The sequence below is a fragment of the Homo sapiens genome, chromosome 5 (genome assembly GCF_000001405.40).
Source record: "Homo sapiens chromosome 5, GRCh38.p14 Primary Assembly".
NCBI lineage: Eukaryota > Metazoa > Chordata > Mammalia > Primates > Hominidae > Homo > Homo sapiens.
In genome coordinates, this window is record NC_000005.10 from 175,390,250 (window position 1) to 175,416,515 (window position 26,266).

At 40.9% G+C, this 26,266-nt stretch overlaps 1 annotated feature.

The window, feature by feature from the left end:
* Window positions 7,205-7,777: an enhancer, noted in NCBI's record as "H3K27ac-H3K4me1 hESC enhancer chr5:174824457-174825029 (GRCh37/hg19 assembly coordinates)". NCBI's record gives its function as "activates a minimal SCP1, AML or CMV promoter by ChIP-STARR-seq in naive H9 embryonic stem cells {active_cell/tissue: H9 hESC(naive)}" and the evidence as "EXISTENCE:reporter gene assay evidence [ECO:0000049][PMID:30033119]".

The window sequence follows — 26,266 nt, forward strand, 5'->3', positions numbered from 1 at the left end:
TTCCATCATGTGAAGTAATTGGGGGATAACTTATCCGCTTCCTTTATTTACAGATTCCGGCAGTGACCTCTGTAGGTATCCAAAATGACACTGGATGAGATTGCTTCACGTCAATATATTTTTTTCAAATAGTATTTTGCTGCTGTTTAAAATAATTTGGGGGCTAGCACAGTGGCTCATACCTGTAATCCCAGCATTTTGAGGGTCTGAGGTGGGAGAATCACTTGAACCCAAGAGTTTGAGACCAGCCTGGGCAACATAGTAAGACCTCATCTCTACAATAATAAATAAATAAATAAATAAATAAATAAATAAATAAAATAATTTCAAGGGGACTCCAAACTAAATATTTTGTATTATCTTCTCTGATATTTTTAGGGGGTATAAAAGTCAGGTTCTCCAGAGAAACAGAATATGTATTTATAGAAAGATTTTAAAATATGGTTTATGATACTGTGGGGGCTGGAAAGTCTAAACTCTGTGGGGCAGGTCAGCAGGCTGCAGACTTAGGTGAGAGTTAATCCTGCAATATTGAGTCTGAATTCCACAAAGCAGCAATCTGGAAACCCTTGCCCTCTTATGGACAATTTCTTCTTCCTCCAGAAAATCTGTCTTTTTCTCATAAGGCCTTCAACTGATTGGATGAGGCCCACCTACATTACAGAGGCTAATTGGCTTCACTCAAAGTCCACCGATTTAAATGTTAATCATATCTAAAAAATGCCTTCGCAACAACATTTAGGCTGGCATTTCACCAAATTACTGGGCACCACAGACTAGCCACATTGACACATAAAAGTGACCATCACAGGCCGGGCACAGTGGCTCATGCCTGTAACCCCAGCACTTTGAGAGGCCGAGGTGGGCAGATCACGAGGTCAGATTGAAACCATCCTGGCCAACATGGTGAAACCCTGTCTCTACTACAAATACAAAAATTAGCCGAGCATGGTGGCACATGCCTGTAGTCCCAGCTACTCGGGAGGCTGAGGCAGAAGAATCGCTTGAACCTGGGAGGCAGAGGTTGCAGTGAGCCGAGATCGCACCATTGCACTACAGCCTGGCAACAGAGTGAGATTCCATCTCAAGAAAAAAAAAAAAATTAACCATCACAGCAGAGAAAGATTCACCTCATATTCAACACTATATTACATTATGGGGGAAAACTTGCCTCTCCTCAGCACTGCTGGACTAGGGGGAGTTAAAAGGCCTTTTAACGTATTGTTCCACATGAGCTGAAGATGTTTCCCCCCACCTTTTTGTTTGTTTGTTTGTTTGTTTCTTTGTTTGTTTTGAGACGGAGTCTTGCTCTGTTACCCAGGCTGGAGTACAATAGCACAATCTCAGCTCACTGCAATCTCCGCCTTCCAGGTTCAAGTGATTCTCCTGCCTCAGCCTCCCGAGTAGCTGGGACTACAGGCACGTGCCACCACTTCCGGCTAATTTGTGTATTTTTAGCAGAGACAAGGTTTCACCGTGTTAGCCAGGATGGTCTCAATATCCTGACCTCGTGATCCACCCACCTTGGCCCCCCAAAGTGCTGGGATTACAGACATGAGCCACCGCGGCCGGCCGAGTCAGAGTTTTAATACAAGCCCTCGCCTTACCACTTGCGACCCTGACCGCCTCCATTTATTTGTCTGTAAATCCAGGAGAACACTTCCTACTTCCAGGGTGGTGATGAGAATTAAATATAATAACATCCACAGATCTATACAGTAATACTTATTAAGTATAAAATGTCTTCCCTTCTTCCTTATTTTATCCAACCTTCCTCATCTACTATGAAGGTAAAATATTCGAGGAGGGGGAGTTTAATAACTGAATATCCATGATCCTTTTAAAATCTCATAGATGTGTACATTTCACGTAAAAAAAGAAAGTAGGGTGACTATGAAGGAGCTATTAGCTACTAGATATGAATTTTAAATGAAGCTTAATTTTAGAACAATTTTTGGAACATATTCTTAGCTTTCATCACTCAACAAATATTTGTGAAGCATCTATGTGTCAGACATACATTCTCAGGCTGGGCTTTTGGTGAATTTACACTGTTGGGGGTGGATGTTCTCAAAATCCAACGTTGCAAGACAGCATCATCTTGACAATGGAGAGCTGTTAAAGCGTATCCTTCAGTCTCTCTGTAGCTCAGGCAGTAGGCCGGGAACATCGCTGTCAGGGGCTACCTGGTAACTGCTATAGCCACTGTAGGCTCCAGCCGCACTGATGGGCTTGCCTGGTTTCAGCCACATGGTGCAGTATGCAAGCTGTTACCACTTGAATGGATTTCTCTTCTTCTCTTCCTCATCCTTCAGATAGCCTTCCATCCCTCTTGTTCAGATAGATAGCCTTCCATCCCCTTTCTCCACTATCATCCCAGTCTAGTTCAGACACCCCCCCCAACCCCACCTCCATCACAGCACCCATCACCCCCCACCCCACCTCCATCACAGCACCCATCACCCCCCACCCCACCTCCATCACAGCACCCATCACCCCCCACCCCACCTCCATCACAGCACCCATCACCCCCCACCCCACCTCCATCACAGCACCCATCACCCCCCACCCCACCTCCATCACAGCACCCATCACCCCCCACCCCACCTCCATCACAGCACCCATCACCCCCCACCCCACCTCCATCACAGCACCCATCACCCCCCACCCCACCTCCATCACAGCACCCATCACCCCCCACCCCACCTCCATCACAGCACCCATCACCCCCCACCCCACCTCCATCACAGCACCCATCACCCCCCACCCCACCTCCATCACAGCACCCATCACCCCCCACCCCACCTCCATCACAGCACCCATCACCCCCCACCCCACCTCCATCACAGCACCCATCACCCCCCACCCCACCTCCATCACAGCACCCATCACCCCCCACCCCACCTCCATCACAGCACACATCACCCCCCACCCCACCTCCATCACAGCACCCATCACCCCCCCCACCCCACCTCCATCACAGCACGCATCACCCCCCCACCCCACCTCCATCACAGCACCCATCACCCCCTCACCCCACCTCCATCACAGCATGCATCACATTGGAAAGTACTTGCTGATTTCCCTGTCTGTCTGTGTTGCCACGTTGGAGAAAGGTCTCCTTGTGATCAGAACAAGCTTACTCACCTGGCTATTATAATTCCGGGGCCTAACATTTGTATATGTTAACATATAAATACATATATAATTTGGTTCGTACATGAGAATATATATTATATTTATATAGCAGTTATGGAGAACATAAATTTTGATAAAATAATTTTGCAAAATTGTTTTAGTCTTAATTTTACAGCTTCAGCATTGTAACTCATTGGACAAAGAACCATAATTTTTTTGTTCTTGTTGAAGAAACTGAAATAGGGAGAGGGAATGCCATTCCATTCCATTTTCTCATTAGTCACAACTAATAAATGGACAGAAACCCAGTTTAACCGAGGTGACAGGATTTATTGGTTCTGGTATTTGGAAGTGCAGGCAGTATCTTAGCCTCAGGAATGGCTGGATCATGGTGGCTCTCTCCACTTCTCAGCTCTGTTTTCCTCTAGGCTGACTTTATTTAGATTCAGGTTTACGTCACTGATGCTTCAGGAATCTCCAGTCTACAAAAGAGAAGTTTTCCAACAGCTGCAACATAAGTCCCAGAACTGAGTCCCCATGGTCTGTCTTGGGTCATGTCTCCATCCATGAACCTCTGTCACTATGGACAGAGGCTGACCAGACAGGCTTGGGCTCAGCCCTGGAGTTTGAGACAGCATTGGAGACACCCAAACACCCTGGATAAGTGCCAGAGAGTTACAGCTCTCCAAAAGCACACACCGTGCTGTCACCAGGGCAGGGAATGGTCGCTGGGCGGCAGAACAACATGTGATCAAAGCAGAGTGGTGATAGAGCCAAGAGTGGAATTGATGGCTTTCTGCGAGACAGAACTTTCAAAGCACTTGAGGTGGTGGAGGAGAGAGGCCAGGTTTCCAGCCTGAGCCTGGTCAGGAGCAGTGAGAACTGAAGGAAGGGAGGGAGTCTGAAGATAACCAGGAGGGACCTGGGAGGGACAGAGCAGTGGTCAGGCTATGACCAGTAGGGAGGTAGGACAGAGGGGGAGGCAAGCAAGATGGCCAATTGCCATCCAGATAGGATAGGTGGCATGAAGACCAGCCTTTGAGTGTGACTCTCATGCATGAGGCACTACCCTAAAAGCCAATTCTTTTCCTTCTTCCTTCATTAAAATCCTGGAATACCATCCCCTAGATTAAGGAACCTTCCTTATCCTCTTTGTTCATCCTAAAAGAGCCTGGTCTATAGAATCTGTCTCCTAACAGTCAACTAGTATTATTTTAGTACTATGATTAATCTCCTGATTGAGTAAAAAGAACAGAGAATTTGCAATCTATGAGATCTTGTCAAATCCCTGCCCCACCACTTGGCAGTCGTGTGAACTTGAGCAGGTCACTTCCCCCTCTGAGCTTCATCATTTTTGTAACGCATGTCAGCCGCTGGCCAAGAACCTGAATACAGCAAGCACTCAACTCCTGTTAGCAACTGTGACTGTAATTTTTGGTGCTGTAAAGTTTTATAGGTCTAAGAAAGCCCAGTAACAAGTTCTTCATAGCAAAGTCATCATTAAATCCAGCCGGACAGGCCCCAAATGAGTCTGCAACATGTGGAATTTTTCATTATGAAGCAAACACTCCCCCTTTCTGAGGATCAGCGTTAAACCAGGGATTTTTTTTTCCTCACCACCATTAGACTCTGCTCAAGATTCCCAAAGGAGAGCAGTACTTAGAGAATTCATTTTTAATCATCTGAGCCTCACAAGAAAAAGTTCTGTCTTATTCAAATATGGCATAACAGAAATGAGGGCAGGAGCAGAGGGAAAGGTAGGGTTGCTGGATTTAAACTTGAACTGTGGACTCTGCTTTTAGAAGAAAACTCCATAGCTTTCTGGTTCTCACACTGTACAGATGCACCTTCTACCAAATGAGCTTGCACTGCATTCATTACTCATCCACTCAGCTATTCCTCTTTCTTTTTTTTTTATTATTATACTTTAAGTTCTAGGGTACATGTGCACAACATGCAGGTTTGTTACATACGTATGCATGTGCCATGTTGGTGTGCTGCACCCATTAACTCGTCATTTACATTAGGTATTTCACCTAATGCTATCCCTCCCCCCTCCCCCCACCCCACAACAGGCCCTGGTGTGTGATGTTCCCCGCCATGTGTCCAAGTGTTCTCGTTGTTCAATTCCCACCTGTGAGTGAGAACATGCGGTGTTTGGTTTTCTGTACTTGCGATAGTTTGCTCAGAATGATGGTTTCCAGCTTCATCCATGTCCCTACAAAGGATGTGAATTCATCCTTTTTTATGGCTGCATAGTATTCCATGATGTATATGTGCCACATTTTCTTAATCCAGTCTATCACTGATGGACATTTGGGTTGGTTCCAAGTCTTTGCTATTGTGACTAGTGCTGCAATAAACATACATGTGCATGTCTCTTTACAGTAGCATGATTCATAATTCTTTGGGTATATACCTAGTAATGGGATGGCTGGGTCAAATGGTATTTCTAGTTCTAGATCCTTGAGGAGCTATTCCTCTTTCAACACTTACTGACTTCTATTCACCAGGCTCTGGGCAGAGCTCCAGAGAGAGTTCAGTGAGACCTGTCTTTTTTTTTTTAATAGAGATAGGGTCTCACTATGTTGCCCAGGCTGGTCTCAAACTCTTAAGCTCAAGCAATTCTCTTACCTTGGCCTCCCAAAGTATGGGGATTATAGGTGTGAGCCACCACACCTGGCCTAAGACCCATCCTTTGCCCTAAGTAGCTCATAATTTACAGCCAGGGTTCACAAACTGTTTCAAAGAAAGGCTATGTGTAAATATTTTAGGCTTTACAGGTAATAACATTTCTGTTGCCACTATTCGAGCAGGTCCTTGAATAGTTGGGGATATATTTTTGGAGCCTTTGAGACCTATTGGAGGACAGGAGCAATGTAGGATGATGCCTCCTAGATGTCTGTCCCAAGCAACTGGATGGTGCCTGCTGAGGCTGTCCCAAGGCAGAAGCTCATCTGCGTCAGTGCTTCTCAGACTTTCAAAGAAATTGTCAACCCCCAAGTAGGAGCCTTTTCAGACATTATTTTCTTAATTGTGCACCCATACAATTGTAATACCACAGAAGTGATATATCTTTTTATGCACCAATGCCTATCTGTGCTTTATGCATAAAGAACGTGAGAGGGGCTTTTGCCCTCCCCTGCCCAAGAACCAATATTTGCTCCCTGGGGAAAGCTATCACCCCACTGAGAATGCATAGTCTAGCTCTGGGAGAGGTGGTTCCCTCTCCACCTATTTCAAGCCTTTTGTCTGAGCACTGCCTCTTCCTCAGTCATGACAGGTGGAATCACTGGGCTTTTGGGGAAACCCCTAAACCTCCAGAGAAAGACCATCTTAGAACACAGCATGCAACACCAACCTTCCTCTTCTTTGGGGGATTTTGCATGTCTCAAGGCTTCTGGGATGACTTTGCCCCAAATGTTCACATGGTCTGAGACCCACAGTCACAGGTGATAAAGGGACATTCACACCCTTTATCACCCCAACTCCTCTTAGGAAGGGGAAGATCATTGTATGGGGAAAATACCTTAAGAAGTGCTTTGGGTAGAAGGTGAGACCCTTGGTGTGCGTGTTCCTGGAGAGGGATGGAAAAGAGAGGCTGGGGCAGAGCCAGCGGGACGGGAGCCCACACGGGACACACTGAGACTTCCTGTCAACCTGCAAATCTTCAAGAAATTCAACACACACACCCAAGTGTTCCACTGGCATATATTTCTGGTGGGAAAAAAAAGTGAGAGGGCTGAGATTTGCATGGGTGAGGGGAGCAAAGGAAGGTGAATACACAAAGGAGCAGCAGGTGGACCCCAGGCAGGTGAGTCTAGGAACAGAGAAACTTGGGAGACATCGTGCATCCCGGACAACACTACAGGGAGAAGGAGAAAATCCCACCCAAGTCTCACAGTCCATGGAGGCCCAGGAAGATGGCCGGGGTTTGGTTTTTGTATCCGCTCCCGTGAGAGTGCAAGCCATGGAAGACCCGTCAAAAAGTTAAACAACCAGGAGGTATTCGCTCAAGAATGCAAGGCCCAGAGGTGAAGCGTCTCAGGATTGGTTCATTCACCAGCTGAACATCCTTATCCTCTAAGGCTCCGGTGCCTTCCGTCTTCCCCCACCCCGACCATCCTCAGCACATGGGCCGTGTCTCCCCCCATGGTTCCCACTGGCTGCCACATTTACAGCCACATCCAGAGGTGGAAAAGTGGTGAATCACTATTCTAAAAAAAAGTAGTGAATCACTATTCTATAAAACTTTTTAAGAGTGAGGAAAACTTCCCCAGAATCCCACCCCAACCCCTCAGCCCCCAGCACACTGCTCAGCAATAAGTGGTCTATCACAGGTCCTTGGCCACAGCAACCAGAGGCCAAAAGAATGAAATTAAGGGGGAGGAGCCAAGATGGCTGAATAGGAACAGCTCTGGTCTACAGCTCCCAGCGTGAGAGACGCAAAGACGGGTGATTTCTGCATTTCCATCTGAGGTACCGGGTTCATCTCACTAGGGAGTGCCAGACAGTGGGTGCAGGTCAGTGGGTGCGCGCACCGTGCGCGAGCCGAAGCAGGGCGAGGCATTGCCTCACTCGGGAAGCGCAAGGGGTCAGGGAGTTCCCTTTCCGAGTCAAAGAAAGGGGTGAGGGACAGCACCTGGAAAATCGGGTCACTCCCACCCGAATACTGCGCTTTTCCGACGGGCTTAAAAAACGTCACACCACAAGATTATATCCAGCACCTGGCTGGGAGGGTCCTACGCCCACGGAGTCTCGCTGATTGCTAGCACAGCAGTCTGAGATCAAACTGCAAGGCGGCAGCGAGGCTGGGGGAGGGGAGCCCGCCATTGCCCAGACTTGATTAGGTAAACAAAGCAGCCGGGAAGCTCGAACTGGGTGGAGCCCACCACAGCTCAAGGAGGCCTGCCTGCCTCTGTAGGCTCCACCTCTGGGGGCAGGGCACAGACAAACAAAAAGACAGCAGTAACCTCTGCAGACTTAAATGTCCCTGTCTGACAGCTTTGAAGAGAGCAGTGGTTCTCCCAGCACACAGCTGGAGATCTGAGAACGGGCAGACTGCCTCCTCAAGTGGGTCCCTGACCCCTGAGCCCCGGGCAGCCTAACTGGGAGGCACCCCCCAGCAGGGGCACACTGACACCTCACACGGCAGGGTATTCCAACAGACCTGCAGCTGAGGGTCCTGTCTGTTAGAAGGAAAGCTAACAAACAGAAAGGACATCCACACCAAAAACCCGTCTGTACATCACCATCATCAAAGACCAAAAGTAGATAAAACCACAAAGATGGGGAAAATACAGAACAGAAAAACTGGAAACTCTAAAAAGCAGAGCGCCTCTCCTCCTCCAAAGGAACGCAGTTCCTCACCAGCAACGGAACAAAGCTGGATGGAGAATGACTTTGACGAGCTGAGAGAAGAAGGCTTCAGACGATCAAATTACTCTGAGCTACAGGAGGACATTCAAACCAAAGGGAAAGAAGTTGAAAACTTTGAAAAAAATTTAGAAGAATGTATAACTAGAATAACCAATACAGAGAAGTGCTTAAAGGAGCTGATGGAGCTGAAAACCAAGGCTCGAGAACTACGTGAAGAATGCAGAAGCCTCAGGAGCTGATGCGATCAACTGGAAGAAAGAGTATCAGCAATGGAAGATGAAATGAATGAAATGAAGTGAGAAGGGAAGTTTAGAGAAAAAAGAATAAAAAGAAATGAGCAAAGCCTCCAAGAAATATGGGACTATGTGAAAAGACCAAATCTACGTCTGATTGGTGTACCTGAAAGTGATGAGGAGAATGGAACCAAGTTGGAAAACACGCTGAAGGATATTATCCAGGAGAACTTCCCCAATCTAGCAAGGCAGGCCAACGTTCAGATTCAGGAAATACAGAGAACGCCACAAAGATACTCCTCGAGAAGAGCAACTCCAAGACACATAATTGTCAGATTCACCAAAGTTGAAATGAAGGAAAAAATGTTAAGGGCAGCCAGAGAGAAAGGTTGGATTACCCTCAAAGGGAAGCCCATCAGACTAACAGCGGATCTCTTGGCAGAAACCCTACAAGCCAGAAGAGAGTGGGGGCCAATATTTAACATTCTTAAAGAAAAGAATTTTCAACCCAGAATTTCATATCCAGCCAAACTAAGCTTCATAAGCGAAAGAGAAATAAAATACTTTACAGACAAGCAAATGCTGAGAGATTTTGTCACCACCAGGCCTGCTCTAAAAGAGCTCCTGAAGGAAGTGCTAAATATGGAAAGGAACAACCGGTACCAGCCACTGCAAAATCATGCCAAAATGTAAAGGCCATCGAGACTAGGAAGAAACTGCATCAACTAATGAGCAAAATAACCAGCTAACATCATAATGACAGGATCAAACTCACACATAACAATATTAACTTTAAATGTAAATGGACTAAATGCTCCAATTAAAAGACACAGACTGGCAAATTGGATAAAGAGTCAAGACCCATCAGTGTGCTGTATTCAGGAAACCCATCTCACGTGCAGAGACACACATAGGCTCAAAATAAAAGGATGGAGGAAGATCTACCAAGCAAATGGAAAACAAAAAAAGGCAGGGGTTGCAATCCTAGTCTCTGATAAAACAGACTTTAAACCAACAAAGGTCAAAAGAGACAAAGAAGGCCATTACATAATGGTAAAGGGATCAATTTAACAAGAAGAGCTAACTATCCTAAATATATATGCACCCAATACAGGAGCACCAAGATTCATAAAGCAAGTCCTAAGTGACCTACAAAGAGACTTAGACTCCCACACATTAATAATGGGAGACTTTAACACCCCACTGTCAACATTAGACAGATCAACGAGACAGAAAGTCAACAAGGATACCCAGGAATTGAACTCAGTTCTGCACCAAGCAGACCTAATAGACATCTACAGAACTCTCCACCCCAAATCAACAGAGTGTACATTTTTTTCAGCACCACACCACACCTATTCCAAAATTGACCACATAGTTGGAAGTAAAGCACTCCTCAGCAAATGTAAAAGAACAGAAATTATAACAAACTATCTCTCAGACCATAGTGCAATCAAACTAGAACTCAGGATTAAGAATCTCACGCAAAACCACTCAACTACATGGAAACTGAACAACTTGCTCCTGAATGACTACTGGGTACATAATGAAATGAAGGCAGAAATAAAGATGTTCTTTGAAACCAACGAGAACAAAGACACAACATACCAGAATCTCTGGGACGCATTCAAGGCAGTGTGTAGAGGGAAATTTATAGCACTAAATGCCCACAAGAGAAAGCAGGAAAGATCCAAAATTGACACCCTAACATCACAATTAAAAGAACTAGAAAAGCAAGAGCAAACACATTCAAAAGCTAGCAGAAGGCAAGAAATAACTAAAATCAGACCAGAACTGAAGGAAATAGAGACACAAAAAACCCTTCAAAAAATTAATGAATCCAGGAGCTGGTTTTTTGAAAGGATCAACAAAATTGATAGACCGCTAGCAAGACTAATAAAGAAAAAAAGAGAGAAGAATCAAATAGATGCAATAAAAAATGATAAAGGGGATATCACCACCAATCCCACAGAAATACAAACTACCATCAGAGAATACTACAAACACCTCTATGCAAATAAACTAGAAAATCTAGAAGAAATGGATAAATTCCTCGACACATACACTCTCCCAAGACTAAACCAGGAAGAAGTTGAATCTCTGAATAGACCAATAACAGGATCTGAAATTGTGGCAATAATCAATAGCTTACCAACCAAAAAGAGTCCAGGACCAGATGGATTCACAGCCGAATTCTACCAGAAGTACAAGGAGGAACTGGTACCATTCCTTCTGAAACTATTCCAATCAACAGAAAAAGAGGGAATCCTCCCTAACTCATTTTATGAGGCCAGCATCATTCTGATACCAAAGCCAGGCAGAGACACAACAAAAAAAAGAGAATTTTAGACCAATATCCTTGATGAACATTGATGCAAAAATCCTCAATAAAATACTGGCAAACCAAATCCAGCAGCACATCAAAAAGCTTATCCACCATGATCAAGTGGGCTTCATCCCTGGGATGCAAGGCTGATTCAATATGCACAAATCAATAAATGTAATTCAGCATATAAACGGAGCCAAAGACAAAAACCACATGATTATCTCAATAGATGCAGAAAAAGCCTTTGACAAAATTCAACAACGCTTCATGCTAAAAACTCTCAATAAATTAGGTATTGATGGGACATATTTCAAAATAATAAGAGCTATCTATGACAAACCCACAGCCAATATCATACTGAATGGGCAAAAACTGGAAGCATTCCCTTTGAAAACTGGCACAAGACAGGGATGCCCTCTCTCACCACTCCTATTCAACATAGTGTTGGAAGTTCTGGCCAGGGCAATTAGGCAGGAGAAGGAAATAAAGGGTATTCAATTAGGAAAAGAGGAAGTCAAATTGTCCCTGTTTGCAGACGACATGATTGTATATCTAGAAAACCCCATTGTCTCAGCCCAAAATCTCCTTAAGCTGATAAGCAACTTCAGCAAAGTCTCAGGATACAAAATCAATGTACAAAAATCACAAGCATTCTTATACACCAACAACAGACAAACAGAGAGCCAAATCATGAGTGAACTCCCATTCACAATTGCTTCAAAGAGAATAAAATACCTAGGAATCCAACTTACAAGGGATGTGAAGGACCTCTTCAAGGAGAACTACAAACCACTGCTCAAGGAAATAAAAGAGGATACAAACAAATGGAAGAACATTCCATGCTCATGGGTAGGAAGAATCAATATCATGAAAATGGCCATACTGCCCAAGGTAATTTACAGATTCAATGCCATCCCCATCAAGCTACCAATGCCTTTCTTCACAGAATTGGAAAAAACTACTTTAAAATTCATATGGAACCAAAAAAGAGCCCGTATCGCCAAGTCAATCCTAAGCCAAAAGAACAAAGCTGGAGGCATCACACTACCTGACTTCAAACTATACTACAAGGCTACAGTAACCAAAACAGCATGGTACTGGTACCAAAACAGAGATATAGATCAATGGAACAGAACAGAGCCCTCAGAAATAATGCCACATATCTACAACTATCTGATCTTTGACAAACCTGAGAAAAACAAGCAATGGGGAAAGGATTCCCTATTTAATAAATGGTGCTGGGAAAACTGGCTAGCCATAGGTAGAAAGCTGAAACTGGATCCCTTCCTTACACCTTATACAAAAATCAATTCAAGATGGATTAAAGACTTAAACATTAGACCTAAAACCATAAAAACCCTAGAAGAAAACCTAGGCATTACCATTCAGGACATAGGCATGGGCAAGGACTTCGTGTCTAAAACACCAAAAGCAATGGCAACAAAAGACAAAATTGACAAATGAGATCTAATTAAACTAAAGAGCTTCTGCACAGCAAAAGAAACTACCATCAGAGTGAACAGGCAACCTACAAAATGGGAGAAAATTTTCACAACCTACTCATCTGACAAAGGGCTAATATCCAGAATCTACAATGAACTCAAACAAATTTACAAGAAAAAAACAAATAACCCCATCAAAAAGTGGGCAAAGGACATGAACAGACACTTCTCAAAAGAAGACATTTATGCAGCCAAAAAAACACATGAAAAAATGCTCATCATCACTGGCCATCAGAGAAATGCAAATCAAAACCACAATGATACCATCTCACACCAGTTAGAATGGCAATCATTAAAAAGTCAGGAAACAACAGGTGCTGGAGAGGATGTGGAGAAATAGGAACACTTTTACACTGTTGGTGGGACTGTAAACTAGTTCAACCATTGTGGAAGTCAGTGTGGCTATTCCTCAGGGATCTAGAACTGGAAATACCATTTGACCCAGCCATCCCATTACTGGGTATATACCCAAAGGACTATAAATCATGCTGCTATAAAGACACATGCACACGTATGTTTATTGCGGCATTATTCACAATAGCAAAGACTTGGAACCAACCCAAATATCCAACAATGATAGACTGGATTAAGAAAATGTGGCACATATACACCACGGAATACTATGCAGCCATAAAAAATGATGAGTTCATGTCCTTTGTAGAGACATGGATGAAACTGGAAATCATCATTCTCAGTAAACTATCGCAAGAACAAAAAACCAAACACCACATATTCTCACTCATAGGTGGGAATTGAACAATGAGATCACATGGACACAGGAAGGGGAATATCACACTCTGGGGACTGTTGTGGGGTTGGGGGAGGGGAGAGGGATAGCATTGGGAGATATACCTAAGGCTAGATGATGAGTTAGTGGGTGCAGCGCACCAGCATGGCACATGTATACATATGTAACTAACCTGCACAATGTGCACATGTACCCTAAAACTTAAAGTATAATAAAAAAAAAAAGAATGAAATTAAGATGATTGGCTAAACCAGCGACTCCCAAAATGTGGCCCCTGCATCAGTAACATCAGCACCACTTGGGAATTATTAGAAATGCAAATTATTGAGCTTCATCTCAGCCAATAAAATCAGAAACTCTGAGGGCGGGGCCCTGCAGTCTATGGCTTAATGGGCCCTCCAGGTGATCCTGATGCAACCAGAAGTTTAGAACCAGCCAAGTAGCTTAGATTAATAAACTTGCATTTCTGGTGCTATGGTTTGGATGCATGTCCCTCCAAATCTTATGCTGGAATTTTATCCCCAGTTTTGGAGATGGGGCCTTGTGGAAGATGTTTGGCTCATAGGGATGGAGCCCTCATGAATGTCTTGGTCTCATCCTCATGGTTATGAGTGAATTCTCAATTCTCACTCTGTTAGTTCCCCCCAAGAGCTGATTGTTTAAGAGACCTGACACCTTCCCATTCTCTTTTGTTTCCTCTCTCACCATGTGATCATTGCACACCTTGGCTCTCCTTCACCTTCCAACGTGAGTGAAAGCTTCCTGAAGCCCTCACCAGAAGCAGATGCAGGAGCCATGCTTCTTGTACAGCCTGCAGAACTGTGAGTCAAATAAACCTCTTTTCTTTATAAATTACCCAGCCTCTTAGGTATTACTTTATAACAACACAAATGAACTAAGACATCTGAGCTGGAGAGGATGGCAGCATAGGAAGAACCTACTGGTTGCCTGTCCTGAAGGTGGCTACCTATGCATGAGAGAGGTGAACTGGAGAGAGCTGGTGGTATGGAGAGGGGCCCAAGTGAAGCCCACACTCTCCCTGCTTGGCTGGACAAGAATGAGTGTGTTCTTGGGTCAAGTGGACTCATGAGAATGCCTGGGCTGAAACCATCTTGAAAGGACCCATACTCAAAGGAAAGACATTGGCCCCATGTCCAAAGATTAGCAACTACATGTATATTGACATGGTATTAAATAAAATGAAATGTTTAAGATACATTTGTAGGGCTGGGGTGCTGGCTCATGCCTATAATCCCAGCAGTTTGGGAGGCCGAGGTGGGCAGATTACCTGAGCTCAGGAGTTCAAGACCAGCTTGGCCAACATTGTAAAACTCTGTCTCTACTAAAAATACAAAAAAAATTAGCTGGGCATGGTAGTGCACACCTGTAGTCCCAGCTACTCAGGAGGTTGAGGCAGGAGAATCACTTGAACCCGGGAAGCAGAGGTTGCAGTGAGCCAAGATCGCACCACTGCACTCTGGTCTGGGTGATAGAGTGAGACTCCATCTCAAAAATTTTTTTTAAAAAGATACATTTTTATAGGTACTACTTTGAATAAGGAAGGAAACTTAGATACTTCTCTCTCAGTAACAGAACAAAAAATGCACAAAAAAAGGCATAAAGATTGTATTAGAGTTCTTCGGGGAAACAGAACCACATAATATATATAGAGACATATGAAAAGAGATTTATTATGGGAGATTGGCTCATGCAATTATAAGGCTCAAGATCTGTCAGGTCCAAGTCCGGAGAACCAGGTCTGAGAACCAGGAATGCTGACATTCAAAGGCAGGAGGAGATGGATGTCCCAGTTCTGACAGGGAGAGAAAACTCACTCTCCCTCCCCTTTTTGTTCTATTTTGGCCCTCAGCACATTGGATGATGTCCACCCGCATTAGTGAGGGTGATCTTCTTTACTGTGTCTATGGAGTCAAATGCTAATCTCCTCCAGGAACACTATCACAGGCACATCAGAAATAGCGTTTTGCCAGCTATCTGGGCATCCCTTAGCCCAGTCAAGTTGGCACATAAAATTAACCGTCCTGAAGATATAGACTGTCTAAACAACACAACTAACAAATTTGATGCAGTTTACATATATAGAACACTATACCCAACCATGGAAAATTCATGCTTTTTAAGTACACATTGATTATTTACCAAGACTAGCCATATACTGGGCCATAAAGCAAATCTCCACAAATTCTAAACGACTAAAATTATTCTGAGTATGTTCTCTAACAACAATGAAATTAAGCTAGCTATCAATAACAACACAATTTTTTAACCAGAATATTTGGACATTAAGCAACATGCTTCCAAAAAACCTATTGGTCAAGGAATAATTCAAAAATAGACATTAGAAATTATCTTGGACTCAATGGTAATGAAACTATTACATGCTGGTGGGTCACAGCTAAAACTGTGCTCAGAAGGAAATGTGTAACTTTAATTCTTTAACTTTTATTTTAAGTTCAAACATACATGTTCAGGTTTCTTACACAGGTAAACTTGTTTCATGGCAGGGATGTTGTACATATTATTTCATCATCTAGATATTAAGCCTAGTACCCATTAATTATTTTTCCTGATCCTCTCCCTCCTCCCACCGTCCACCCTCCGATAGGCCCCAGTGTGTGTTGTTCCCCTCTATGTGTCCATGTGTTCTCATCATTTAGCTCCCACTTACAAGTGAGAACATATGGTATTTGGTTTTCTGTTTCTGTGTTAGTTTGCTAAGGATAATGGCCTCCAGCTCCATCCATGTCCCTGGAAAGGACATTATCTCATTCTTTTTATGGCTGCATAGTATCCCATGGTATGTGTGTGCCACATTTTCTTTATCCAGCCTGTCACTGATGGGCATTTAGGTTGATTCCATGTCTTTGCTATTGTGAGTAGTGTTGCAATGAATATACATGTGCATTTGCAATGAACATACATGTGCATTTTAATAGAACGATTTGGAATTGCTGAGTCAAATGGTATTTCTGTCTTTAGGTCTTTGAGAAATCACCGCATTGTCTCCCACAATGGTTGAACAAATTTACACTCCCACCAACAGTACATAAGCGTTCTTTTTTCTCCACAACCTTGCCAGCATCTGTTATTTTTTTTTTTTTTACTTTTTAATAACAGCCATTCTGATTGGTGTGAGATGGTATCTCATTGTTGTTTTGACTTGCATTTCTCTCATAATCAGTGATGTTGAGCTTTTTTTTCTTTTTTTGTTTTTTTTGACAGAATCTCACTGTGTCACCCAGGCTAGAGTGCAGTGGCATGATCTTGGCTCACTGCAACCTGCAACTCCTGGGTTCAAGGGATTCTCATGCCTCAGCCCCCCCAAGTAGCTGGGATTACAAGTGCACATCACCACACCCAGCTAATTTTTTGAATTTTTAGTAGAGACGGTGTTTCGCTATATGGGCCAGACTGGTCTCAAACTCCTGTCCTCGAGGGATCTGCCCACCTCGGGAGCTATTTTTTTTTATATGATTGTTGGCTGCACATATGTCTTCTTTTGAAAAGTGTCTGTTCATATCCTTTGCCCACTTTTTTATGGGTTTTTTTTTAAGTTTATTATAGATGCCCTATATTAGACCTTTGTCAATGCATAGTTTGCAGAAATTTTCTCCCATTCTATATATAGTCTGTTTACTCCGTTGATGGTTTCTTTTGCTGTGCTGCACTTTTTTTTTTTTTTTTTTTGAGATGGAGACTCACTCTGTCACCCAGCTGGAGTGCAGTGGCATGATCTTGGCTCACTGCACCTCTGCCTCCTGGGTTCAAGCAATTTTCCTGCTTCAGCCTCCCAGGTAGCTGGGATTACAGGCACAGGCCACAATGCCACAAAAAAAATGCTTATTTTTGTATTTTTAGTAGAGAAAGGGTTTCACCATGTTGGACAAGCTGGTCGTGAACTCCTGACCTCAAGTAATCCACCCGTCTTGACCTCCCAAAGTGCTGGGATTACAGGCGTGATTTTTAGAATTTTCTATTGACATTCATAAGTGACAGTGGTCTGTAGTTTTTTGTTCATCTCTATCTTTATCAGGTTTTATTAAAGTTAATCTCATTATGTAAAAGAAATTGGAAAAATATGTTCCTTTTCTTTTGCTCCAGATAAATTTAAACAAAATTAGAATTATCAGTTGTTTATTACTTAACATTTTGTTTTGAAGAATTACAGATTTTCAGAAAAAAAATTATTTTAAAACTACAAAAGTTGCTATATACCTAGATTCCCTGGAGGTACATACATGTTTTTCTGAAGTGCTTGAGATTAAGTTGTAGATATATTTTTTAACCCTGAATTCTTTAGTGTATATTTCCTAAAAACAAGGACATAGGCTTATATAACCACAATACAATTATCAAAATCAGGAAATTAACAGATACAATACTATCATCTAATCCATAGGCCTTATTCAAATTTTATTAGTTTTCCCAATAATATCTTTTCCAGAAAAATATTTTTTCTGGTTCAGAATCCAATACAGCATCACACAGGCATTTAGTTGTCATGTTCCTCTAGTCTCATTCAATCTGGAGCAATTTATCAGTCTTTTTCTTTCTTAACCCTGATATTTTTGAAGGGTATAGGCTATTTGTTTTATGTAACATCCCTCAATTGTAGTTTGTCATGACTAGATTCGGGCCACACATTTTTGGTCAGAAATACCACAGAAATGATTTTCTGTCCTTCTCAGTGAGTTATATCAGGAGGCACATGTATGTTTGTCTCATTACAAGTGATGTTATCTTTGATCATTTGATTGTGTTGTCTGCCAGGTTGTCCACTGTAAAGAATGTCTGTTCCTTAATAGTTCGGTAAAATTCCCCTAGAAACATAGCATTTTTTCTAATGGATGGAATGGTAACTATTTCAAAACTTCCATTACTCCCCAAATTTCCTTAAGCTGGCCTTTTGTAATCACTCCATTTCCCAATTCCTAACCCCGGACAACCACTGATCTGTTCTCTGTCCCTACAGTTTTGCTTCTTCAGAATGCCATATAAATGAAAACATAAAGTATGTAACATTTTGAGACTGGCTTCTTTCACTCAGTCTAATGCATTTGAGATTTGCCTATATTGTTGCCTGTATCAATAGTCTGTTCCTTTTAATGGCTGAATAATATTCTGTTGGATAGCTGTACCAGTTTGTTTATCCATTCACCTGTTAAAGATCATTTGGGTCGTTTCCAGCTTGAGGTGATTATGAGTAGAGCTGCTATAAACATCTGTGTAAAGAGTTTTGTGTGAGCACAGTATTTATATCTAGGGTAAATACCCTCGGAGTGAATTGCTTGGTTTTAATTGATAGTGTATGTTTTACTTTATAAGAAACTGTCAAACTATTTTTCAGTGGCTGTACCATTTTACACTCCCACCAGGAATGTAGGAGACTCCCAGTTACTCCACACACTTGCTGGTGTTTGCTATCACCAGATTTTTTCTGCTTTTAATTTTAGTCATTCCAGTGGGTATGTTGGTGTATCTCATCACAGTTTTAATTTATATTTTCTTGATGGCTAATGATGTTGAACATCTTTTCATGTGCTTACTGCCATGTGTATATGCTTGTTAAACAAGTGTCTGTTCAAATGTTTTGTCCATGCTTTTATTGGGTTATTTGTTTCCTGTTTCCTTCTATTGAGTTCAGAATATCCTTTCTATATTCTGGATATAAGTTGTTTGTCAAATAAGTGTCTTGAAAATGTTTTCCGCCAGTCTGTGGCTTTTCTTCTCATTCTCGTAACAGTTTATTTCACTTAGAAAAGTTTTAAATTAACCCCATCAAAGAATGGGCAAAGGATATGAACAGACACTTCTCAAAAGAAGACATTTATGCAGCCAACAGACACATGAAAAAATGCTCATCATCCCTGGTCATCAGAGAAATGCAAAACAAAACCACAATGAGATACCATCTCACACCAGTTAGAATGCCTATCATTAAAAAGTCAGGAAACAACAGGTGCTGGAGAGGATGTGGAGAAATAGGAATGCTTTTACACTGTTGGTGGGAGTGTAAACCAGTTCAACCATTGTGGAAGACAGTGTGGCATTTCCTCAAGGATCTAGAACTAGAAATACCATTTGACCCAGCCATCCCATTACTGGGTATATACCCTAAGGATTATAAGTCATGCTACCATAAAGACACATGCACATGTATGTTTATTGCAGCACTATTCACAATAGCAAAGACTTGGAACCAACCCAAATGTCCATCAGTGATAGACTAGATTAAGAAAATGTGGCACTTATACACCATGGAATACTATGAGCCATAAAAAAGGATGAGTTCATGTCCTTTACAGGGGCATGGATGAAGCTGGAAACCATCATTCTGAGCAAACTATCTCAAGGACAGAAAACCAAACACCACATGTTCTCACTCATAGGTGGGAACTGAACAATGAGAACACTTGGACACAGGGCAGGGAACATCACACACAGGGGCCTGTCATGGGGTTGGGGGGTTGGGGAGGGATAACATTAGGAGAAATACCTAATGTAAATGACGAGTTAATGGGTGCAGCAAACCAACATGGCACATGTATACATATGTAACAAACCTGCATGTTGTGCACATGTACCCTAGAACTTAAAGTATAAAAAAAAGTTTTAAATTTTGATTAAGATCAATTTATCATTTTGTTTCATAGATTATGCTTTTTGTGTCATGTCTAAAACTTATTTGCTTAACCTAAAGTCATATAGATCTTCTCCTATGTTTTCTTTTAAAGTTGTTAGAGTTTTTATATTTTACATTTATATTTATAATTTATTTTGAGATAATTTGTGAATAAGACATGAGGTTTAGATCAAGCTTCATATTTCTGCAAATGAATATCCAATGGTTCTGATGCCATTTGCTGAAAAACTATCCTCCATTGAATTCCTTTTGCATTTTTATCAAAAATTAATTGGCCATATTGATTGTTTTTTAAGCTCTCTATTCCAAACACTGTTTCTGAACCCTCTACTCTGTTTCATTGATCTATGTGAGTATGCCCTCACCAATACCATACTGTTTGATTATTATAGTTTTATAGTTAATCTTAAAATGCAACTTCATTCTTCTTTGTCAAAATGTTTCTGGCTATTCTAGATTCTTCTTCTTGCCATATACATTTTATAATAAGTATGTCTATATCTATAAAAAATCCTGTTGCAATTTTGATTGGACCAGCATTAAATTCATAGATCAATATACAGAGAAATGTATTAACTCTATTGAAGGTTCCAATCCATGAGCAGGGCATGTCTCTCCATTTATTTCTGTCTTTCTGCATTTTGCATTATCATTGCTCATTGCTAGTATATAAAAATATAATTGATTTTCATGTTCATGTGCTGACTTTGAATCTGTAAACTTGATAAGTTCACTTACATAGTTCTAGCAGGTTTTATTTCTTCCTTTCTAACCTATATGCCTGTATTTCTCTATCCTGCTTTAATCCACTATTAAAAGAGAGAAGGAGAATGGACATTCTTGCCTTATCCCTAATCTTAGAGGAAAGCATTCAGTCATTAAGTATGATGTTATCTGCCCCTTATCAGGATAAGGAAGTTCCCTTCTGTTTCTACCTCACTAAGAGTTTTTATCACAAACGATGATGTATTTTTTTCAAATGTTTTTTCTGCATCAATCAAAATAATCATATAGAGTTTTTTTTCCTTACTCAATTGATATGGTGAATTACATTGATCGGGTTCAACTACTGAACTAGTCTTTCATCACAGCAATAAACCCCACTTACTCATGGTATATTATTCATTTCATATGCTGCTGAGTTCTTTTTTTTATGTTTTCTTGAGAACTTTTACCACAATGTTCATGAATGATATTGGCCCATAGTTTTCTTTTCCCATATTATCTTTGTCTGGTTTTGGAATCAGGATGATTTAAAACTCACAAAATGAGTTGGGAAGTTTCCTTCCTCTTCTCTTTTCTGGAAGAAGTTACGTAAAATTGGCATTATTTCTTTTGTAAATGCTTTGTAGGACTCGCCAGTGAGATTGTCTGGACCTGAAAATTTCTTTCTTGGAAGGATTTTCACTACAAATTCAATTTTGAAAATAGATTTAGGACAATTCAGGTTATCTACTTTTTTCTTTGGTGACTTTTGGTAGTTTGTGTCTTTCAACAAATTTATTTTATATAAATTGCCAAATGTATGTACATACAATTGTTCCTAGTATTCTCTTGTTGCCTTTTAATCTGTATGGAATCTATGGTAATATCCACCCCCATCCCATTTTGTGATCTTATTTTTGCTCCATTTGTTTTCTTTTTTTAAATTTCTATTGTAACTTCTTAGGGTGGTAGCTTAGTTTGTGTTTACCCCTTCTCACTTATTAATATAAGTCTTTTAAACCATGAATTTTCCCCTGAACACCATCTATAGGTACTTATAGTAGAATTCATTTATCATTTCCTTCATATAATCTAATTTTGGTTGAAATTTTTTCTTTGCCCTGACTTAAAAGAGTTTTGTTTGTTTGTTTACTTTGAAGAGATGAGGGTTTTTTCTGATTTTATCTTTAATTCCTACTTCTACTGCATTAAAATTAGGAAATTTTCCTGTACCATATCTACCTCTGGAAATGTATTGGGACTTTCTTTGTGGACTAATATGTGGTCAAATTTTGCACTTCTTCCATAGGTACATGTTTTAAAAGGAACTCTGTTCTTTATTTTCAAGGTAAAAAGTTTCCTTTGTGCTAACTACATCTACATTACTAATTGATTATACTGTTTAGATCTACTTGGTTTGTAATTGACTAAGAAAGTTGAATTAAAGTTCTTAATCTTACTATATATCTGTTATGTATCTGTTTTTTTCTTTAGGTAATTCTTGTAGTTTTCACTTTAATTAACGCTGATACTTTTATTTAGTTCTTCATTGAGAACTATACTCTTTGTCCATTTTTTGTTTCTCAGCTTACTGAATCCCTCAATTTCATACATGTGTCTTACAAATACCATAATACTAGTTTTCGTTGGTGATCCATCCTGAATTTATTCTTTCATTCATAGGTAAGTGTATTACTTTCCTATTGGGCTGTAACAAATTAACACAGACTCAATGGCTTAAAACAACAGGAATGTATTATCTTACAGTTCTGGAGGTCAGAAGTCTGAAATATGTCTCACTAGGCTAAAACCAAAGTGCTGACCTGGCTGTGTTCCTTCTGGAGCTTCTAGGGGAGAATTTGTTTCCTTATTTTTTTCCAGCTTTCAGAGGCTGTCTACATTTCTTGACTTACAGTCCCTTTCTCCATCTTCAAAGCCAGCAATGGTGGGCTGAATCCTCCTCAGATTGCGTCACTCTGACCTTCTGTTCTAGAGTTAAATCTTCCCTCTGCCTCTTTAAGAAACCCTTGTGATGGCATCAGGCCCACAGATAATCCAGGGTAACCTCCTATTTAAGATTGGCTGATTAACAACCTAAATTCCATCTGCAACCCTCACCATGTAACATAACAAATTCACAGCTACCAGGGAGCATTCCTCTATTTTCTTAGTCCTCTATGTTTTTACTTATTTATTAGTTCTTTATTAGCAAATTTTAGTGAATTTTTAAAAATATTTATATTTGTACTTTAAATATGCCATGGTAAATTGGATTATTGTCTAAAATTCCTCACTCCAGAGCAATATATTATTTCTACCCCATTGATGTTGGGCCTAGACATGTGACTTGCTTCGGCCAGTGAATTTTTTGCAGATGCAGCATGAGCAGAGGCATGAAATGTGCTTTACTGGTTGGCTTGGTTGCTTATGCTCTTGTGGTGTGCTATGAGAAGATTTCCTCTGGGTATCTGCTGCCCTTTCACCTGGATCCAGAGCTAATACAGGTGGATATCTAAACCCAGTCCATGGCCTGGAGCCAAGCCCAGATGGCCCACAGCCTCAGGCAGGGCTATCTGACAATATCATTTCTAATCAGCCCAAACCTCGGTCAGACAAAGGACACATCAACAACAATGATGTTGTGATGTTCTGGTACACCACTAACTTCTTGAGGTTGGTTGTTATATAGCAAAACCTGGCTATATGATTTGTATTGCGACTGCCTTTTTTTCCAGCTTCCAGGGGCTGGAAGTTTAAACGTTATGTTTTTACTCTCAGCCATTACATGAAATCTTCAATATAATTTATTCCCCATCTATTTTTTGTTTTTACCTTTTCTTCCCCCAGTTTGGGTAAGGTCTATCATTTCTGTAATGTTTTACAATATATAACATTCACCTTCTCTCCTGCCAATTGAATACCCTCATTAATATCTCTTAGTTCTTCCATCAAATATGTATAATGCTCACTGCCAGTCCTTGTATATAGTTTCTCAAAAAATGTTTGGTTGGTTGAAGTTTGTCATTTTTATTTTCCTCAAGGAAGGCTCATGGGAACACATTCTCTGAGCTCTTGTGTTTTTAAAATTGTATTTTTTTAACCTTTCTATTTAAAGAACTTTTTCACTGGGTATAAAATCATTGATTCATACTCTCTTTCCTTAAATATTAAGTGTTGTTCTACTGTCGTTTAGAATTGAATGTTGTTCTGGAAAAATCTGAAGCCAGCTGGGGACAAAGGAAATAAAGTCCTATATAAGATCTAATACTAGGAATCTTTATATTCACAGTTCACTAATTTTTCTAGGAAATGTCTCAGCATTGACCATTCACAGTCACCTTTCTCAGGTACAAAATGTGTCCTTGGCAATGTGTAGATTCAAGTGTTATTTTATTTTAGGAATGCTTTCTTGATTTATACCTTTAATATTTGTTCTGTTTTGGGTTTTGTTTTCTTCTTTGGGAATGCCAGTTATGCATATATTTAATGTCCTTTTCCTGTGCATTAAATCTATCACTATCTATTCCTCTTTAACTCTATTTACATTTTACTTTGTTTGCGCTTCTCATTTCTATTTTCTATGTCATTTCTTATATTTTTGTAGTGTTTATTAACACTTATGCTCTTTCAAGTATTGTCTTCATTTTCATCATGGTTCTATTCTGTTTTTTCTTCCCCTTCTTCTCTGAGTTTTGCCAGATCACGTTTCATCTTCTGCTGCCCTGCAAGCTCATCTCTGAGGTATTACATAATGGTTATTTTTAGAGATTATTGCTTCATTGTGATGTTTAATTCATAGTAGTGTTTGTTCACAATTCTGATCTGTTCCAAAGCCATTTTACTACTGAACATTTTTATTCATAAATTTTGCTGTTCCCTTCCTCCTTTTTTTCATAGTATCTTCTTAAAAATGCAGCACTAGTGTATTTTTTATCACTTATTGTTAAACGCGTTAGGATTTCATGAGCCATGTATTTGCTATAGACGGAGAGAGGCCAGGGTGGAATTATAATCAAGTCAGCTTTCACAACTCAGAGGTTCTCTTCTCCTCACTTGCTACAAAGTTAGGCTGCTTCTCTTAAACAAGGATTGTCTAACATGCTTCTGCATGTAACCTGGTGTGGAAGATTAAATTCCCATTCTCCCTTCTTTTCTCCCTGTAGTAACGCCATATATCTACATCTTTGCTACTGCCTTCTGGTGGATGGATTGTACTTGTCTACCCCTTGACTTGGACTTGGTCATGCAACTTGCTTTGGCTAATGAGCTATTAGTGAGTATCCCATGACCAAAGGCATGACACTTGGCTAAGGAGCCATTAGTGAGTATGCCACGATCAAAAGCATGACATTGACTCATGCAGTTGAGTTTATCCTCTTGACTCTTGCTTTTCATCATGAGAAGAACATGCCTCAGGTAGCCATTGATTTAAGGAGGTTGAGATACATGTGGAAAAGACCAGCACTCAACCGTCAAACTTGGGTCAAACCTAGCTTAGAACAGCCTACATACATTAACCCCAGCCACCTTGAAGACACATGAGCAAGAACAAATGTCTATTGTTTGGGCGTGTTTGTTATATAGCAAAAGCTGACTGATACATCCAGCCTCCTCACTTCTCTGCACCTAACCAAGCTCAGGGGGACTTCTTCCACATCTTAATGTATTCTATTTCTTCACTCTCTTTTTTAATTAAATGATACAGTTTTTTCCCTTCAGAGTGGTTCCCCCAGCTTCAAGAAGTTTTTGTAATTTTTTTGGTCCAATGCGTTACTGAGCTCTCTCCTCTGCTGTTGGCTTCTCCCTCTTGCACAGCTCCTGGGTGCTCTTGGCAGCTCTTACCAAATATTTTTCAGTCTGTCTCCTAGCTTCACTGAAAAAGGAGTTTGAATTTTTGTTTTCTGTTCTCCTTATTGCTTTGGATGATTTCCAGGAAGAAACGAAGAGATTATGAAGTTTGCACATCCATTTTCAAATGGAAGTCTGCCTTGCTTCTAGAATAAGAAAGTAGCATGGAGTCTTGGAACAAATGTGGGCTTTAGAATCAGACGGACCTGAATCAGATCCTGGGTCTGCCACTAATTTCTGTGTGAATTTGAAAAATTTACACTGACCTCTCTGAGCTCCAGTTTGTTTCTTCAATCTATAAAAAGGATCTAGTAACACTTATCTCAGAGTTATTAAAAAGAACATCTTCAGAGAATGAAAGCTAAAATATGGACAGCATCTAGCAGTGCAAATAGTAGGCACACCAAAACATGAAATGAAAACCTATTTTTTTTTTTTTTTTTTTTGAGACAGTCTCACTCTGTCACCCAGGCTGGAGTGCAGTGGCATGATCTCGGCTCACTACAACCTCTGCCTCCCAGGTTAAAGTGAGTCTCCTGCCTTAGCCTCCTGAGTAGCTGTGATTACAGGCATGCGCCACCACAACCAGCTAGTTTGGTTTTTTTTTTTTTTTTGGTTTTTTTTTTTGTTTGGTTTTTTTGGTTTTTTTGTTTTTGTTTTTAGTAGAGATGGGGTTTCACCATGTTGGCCAGGCTGGTCTCAAACTTCTGACCTCAGGTGATC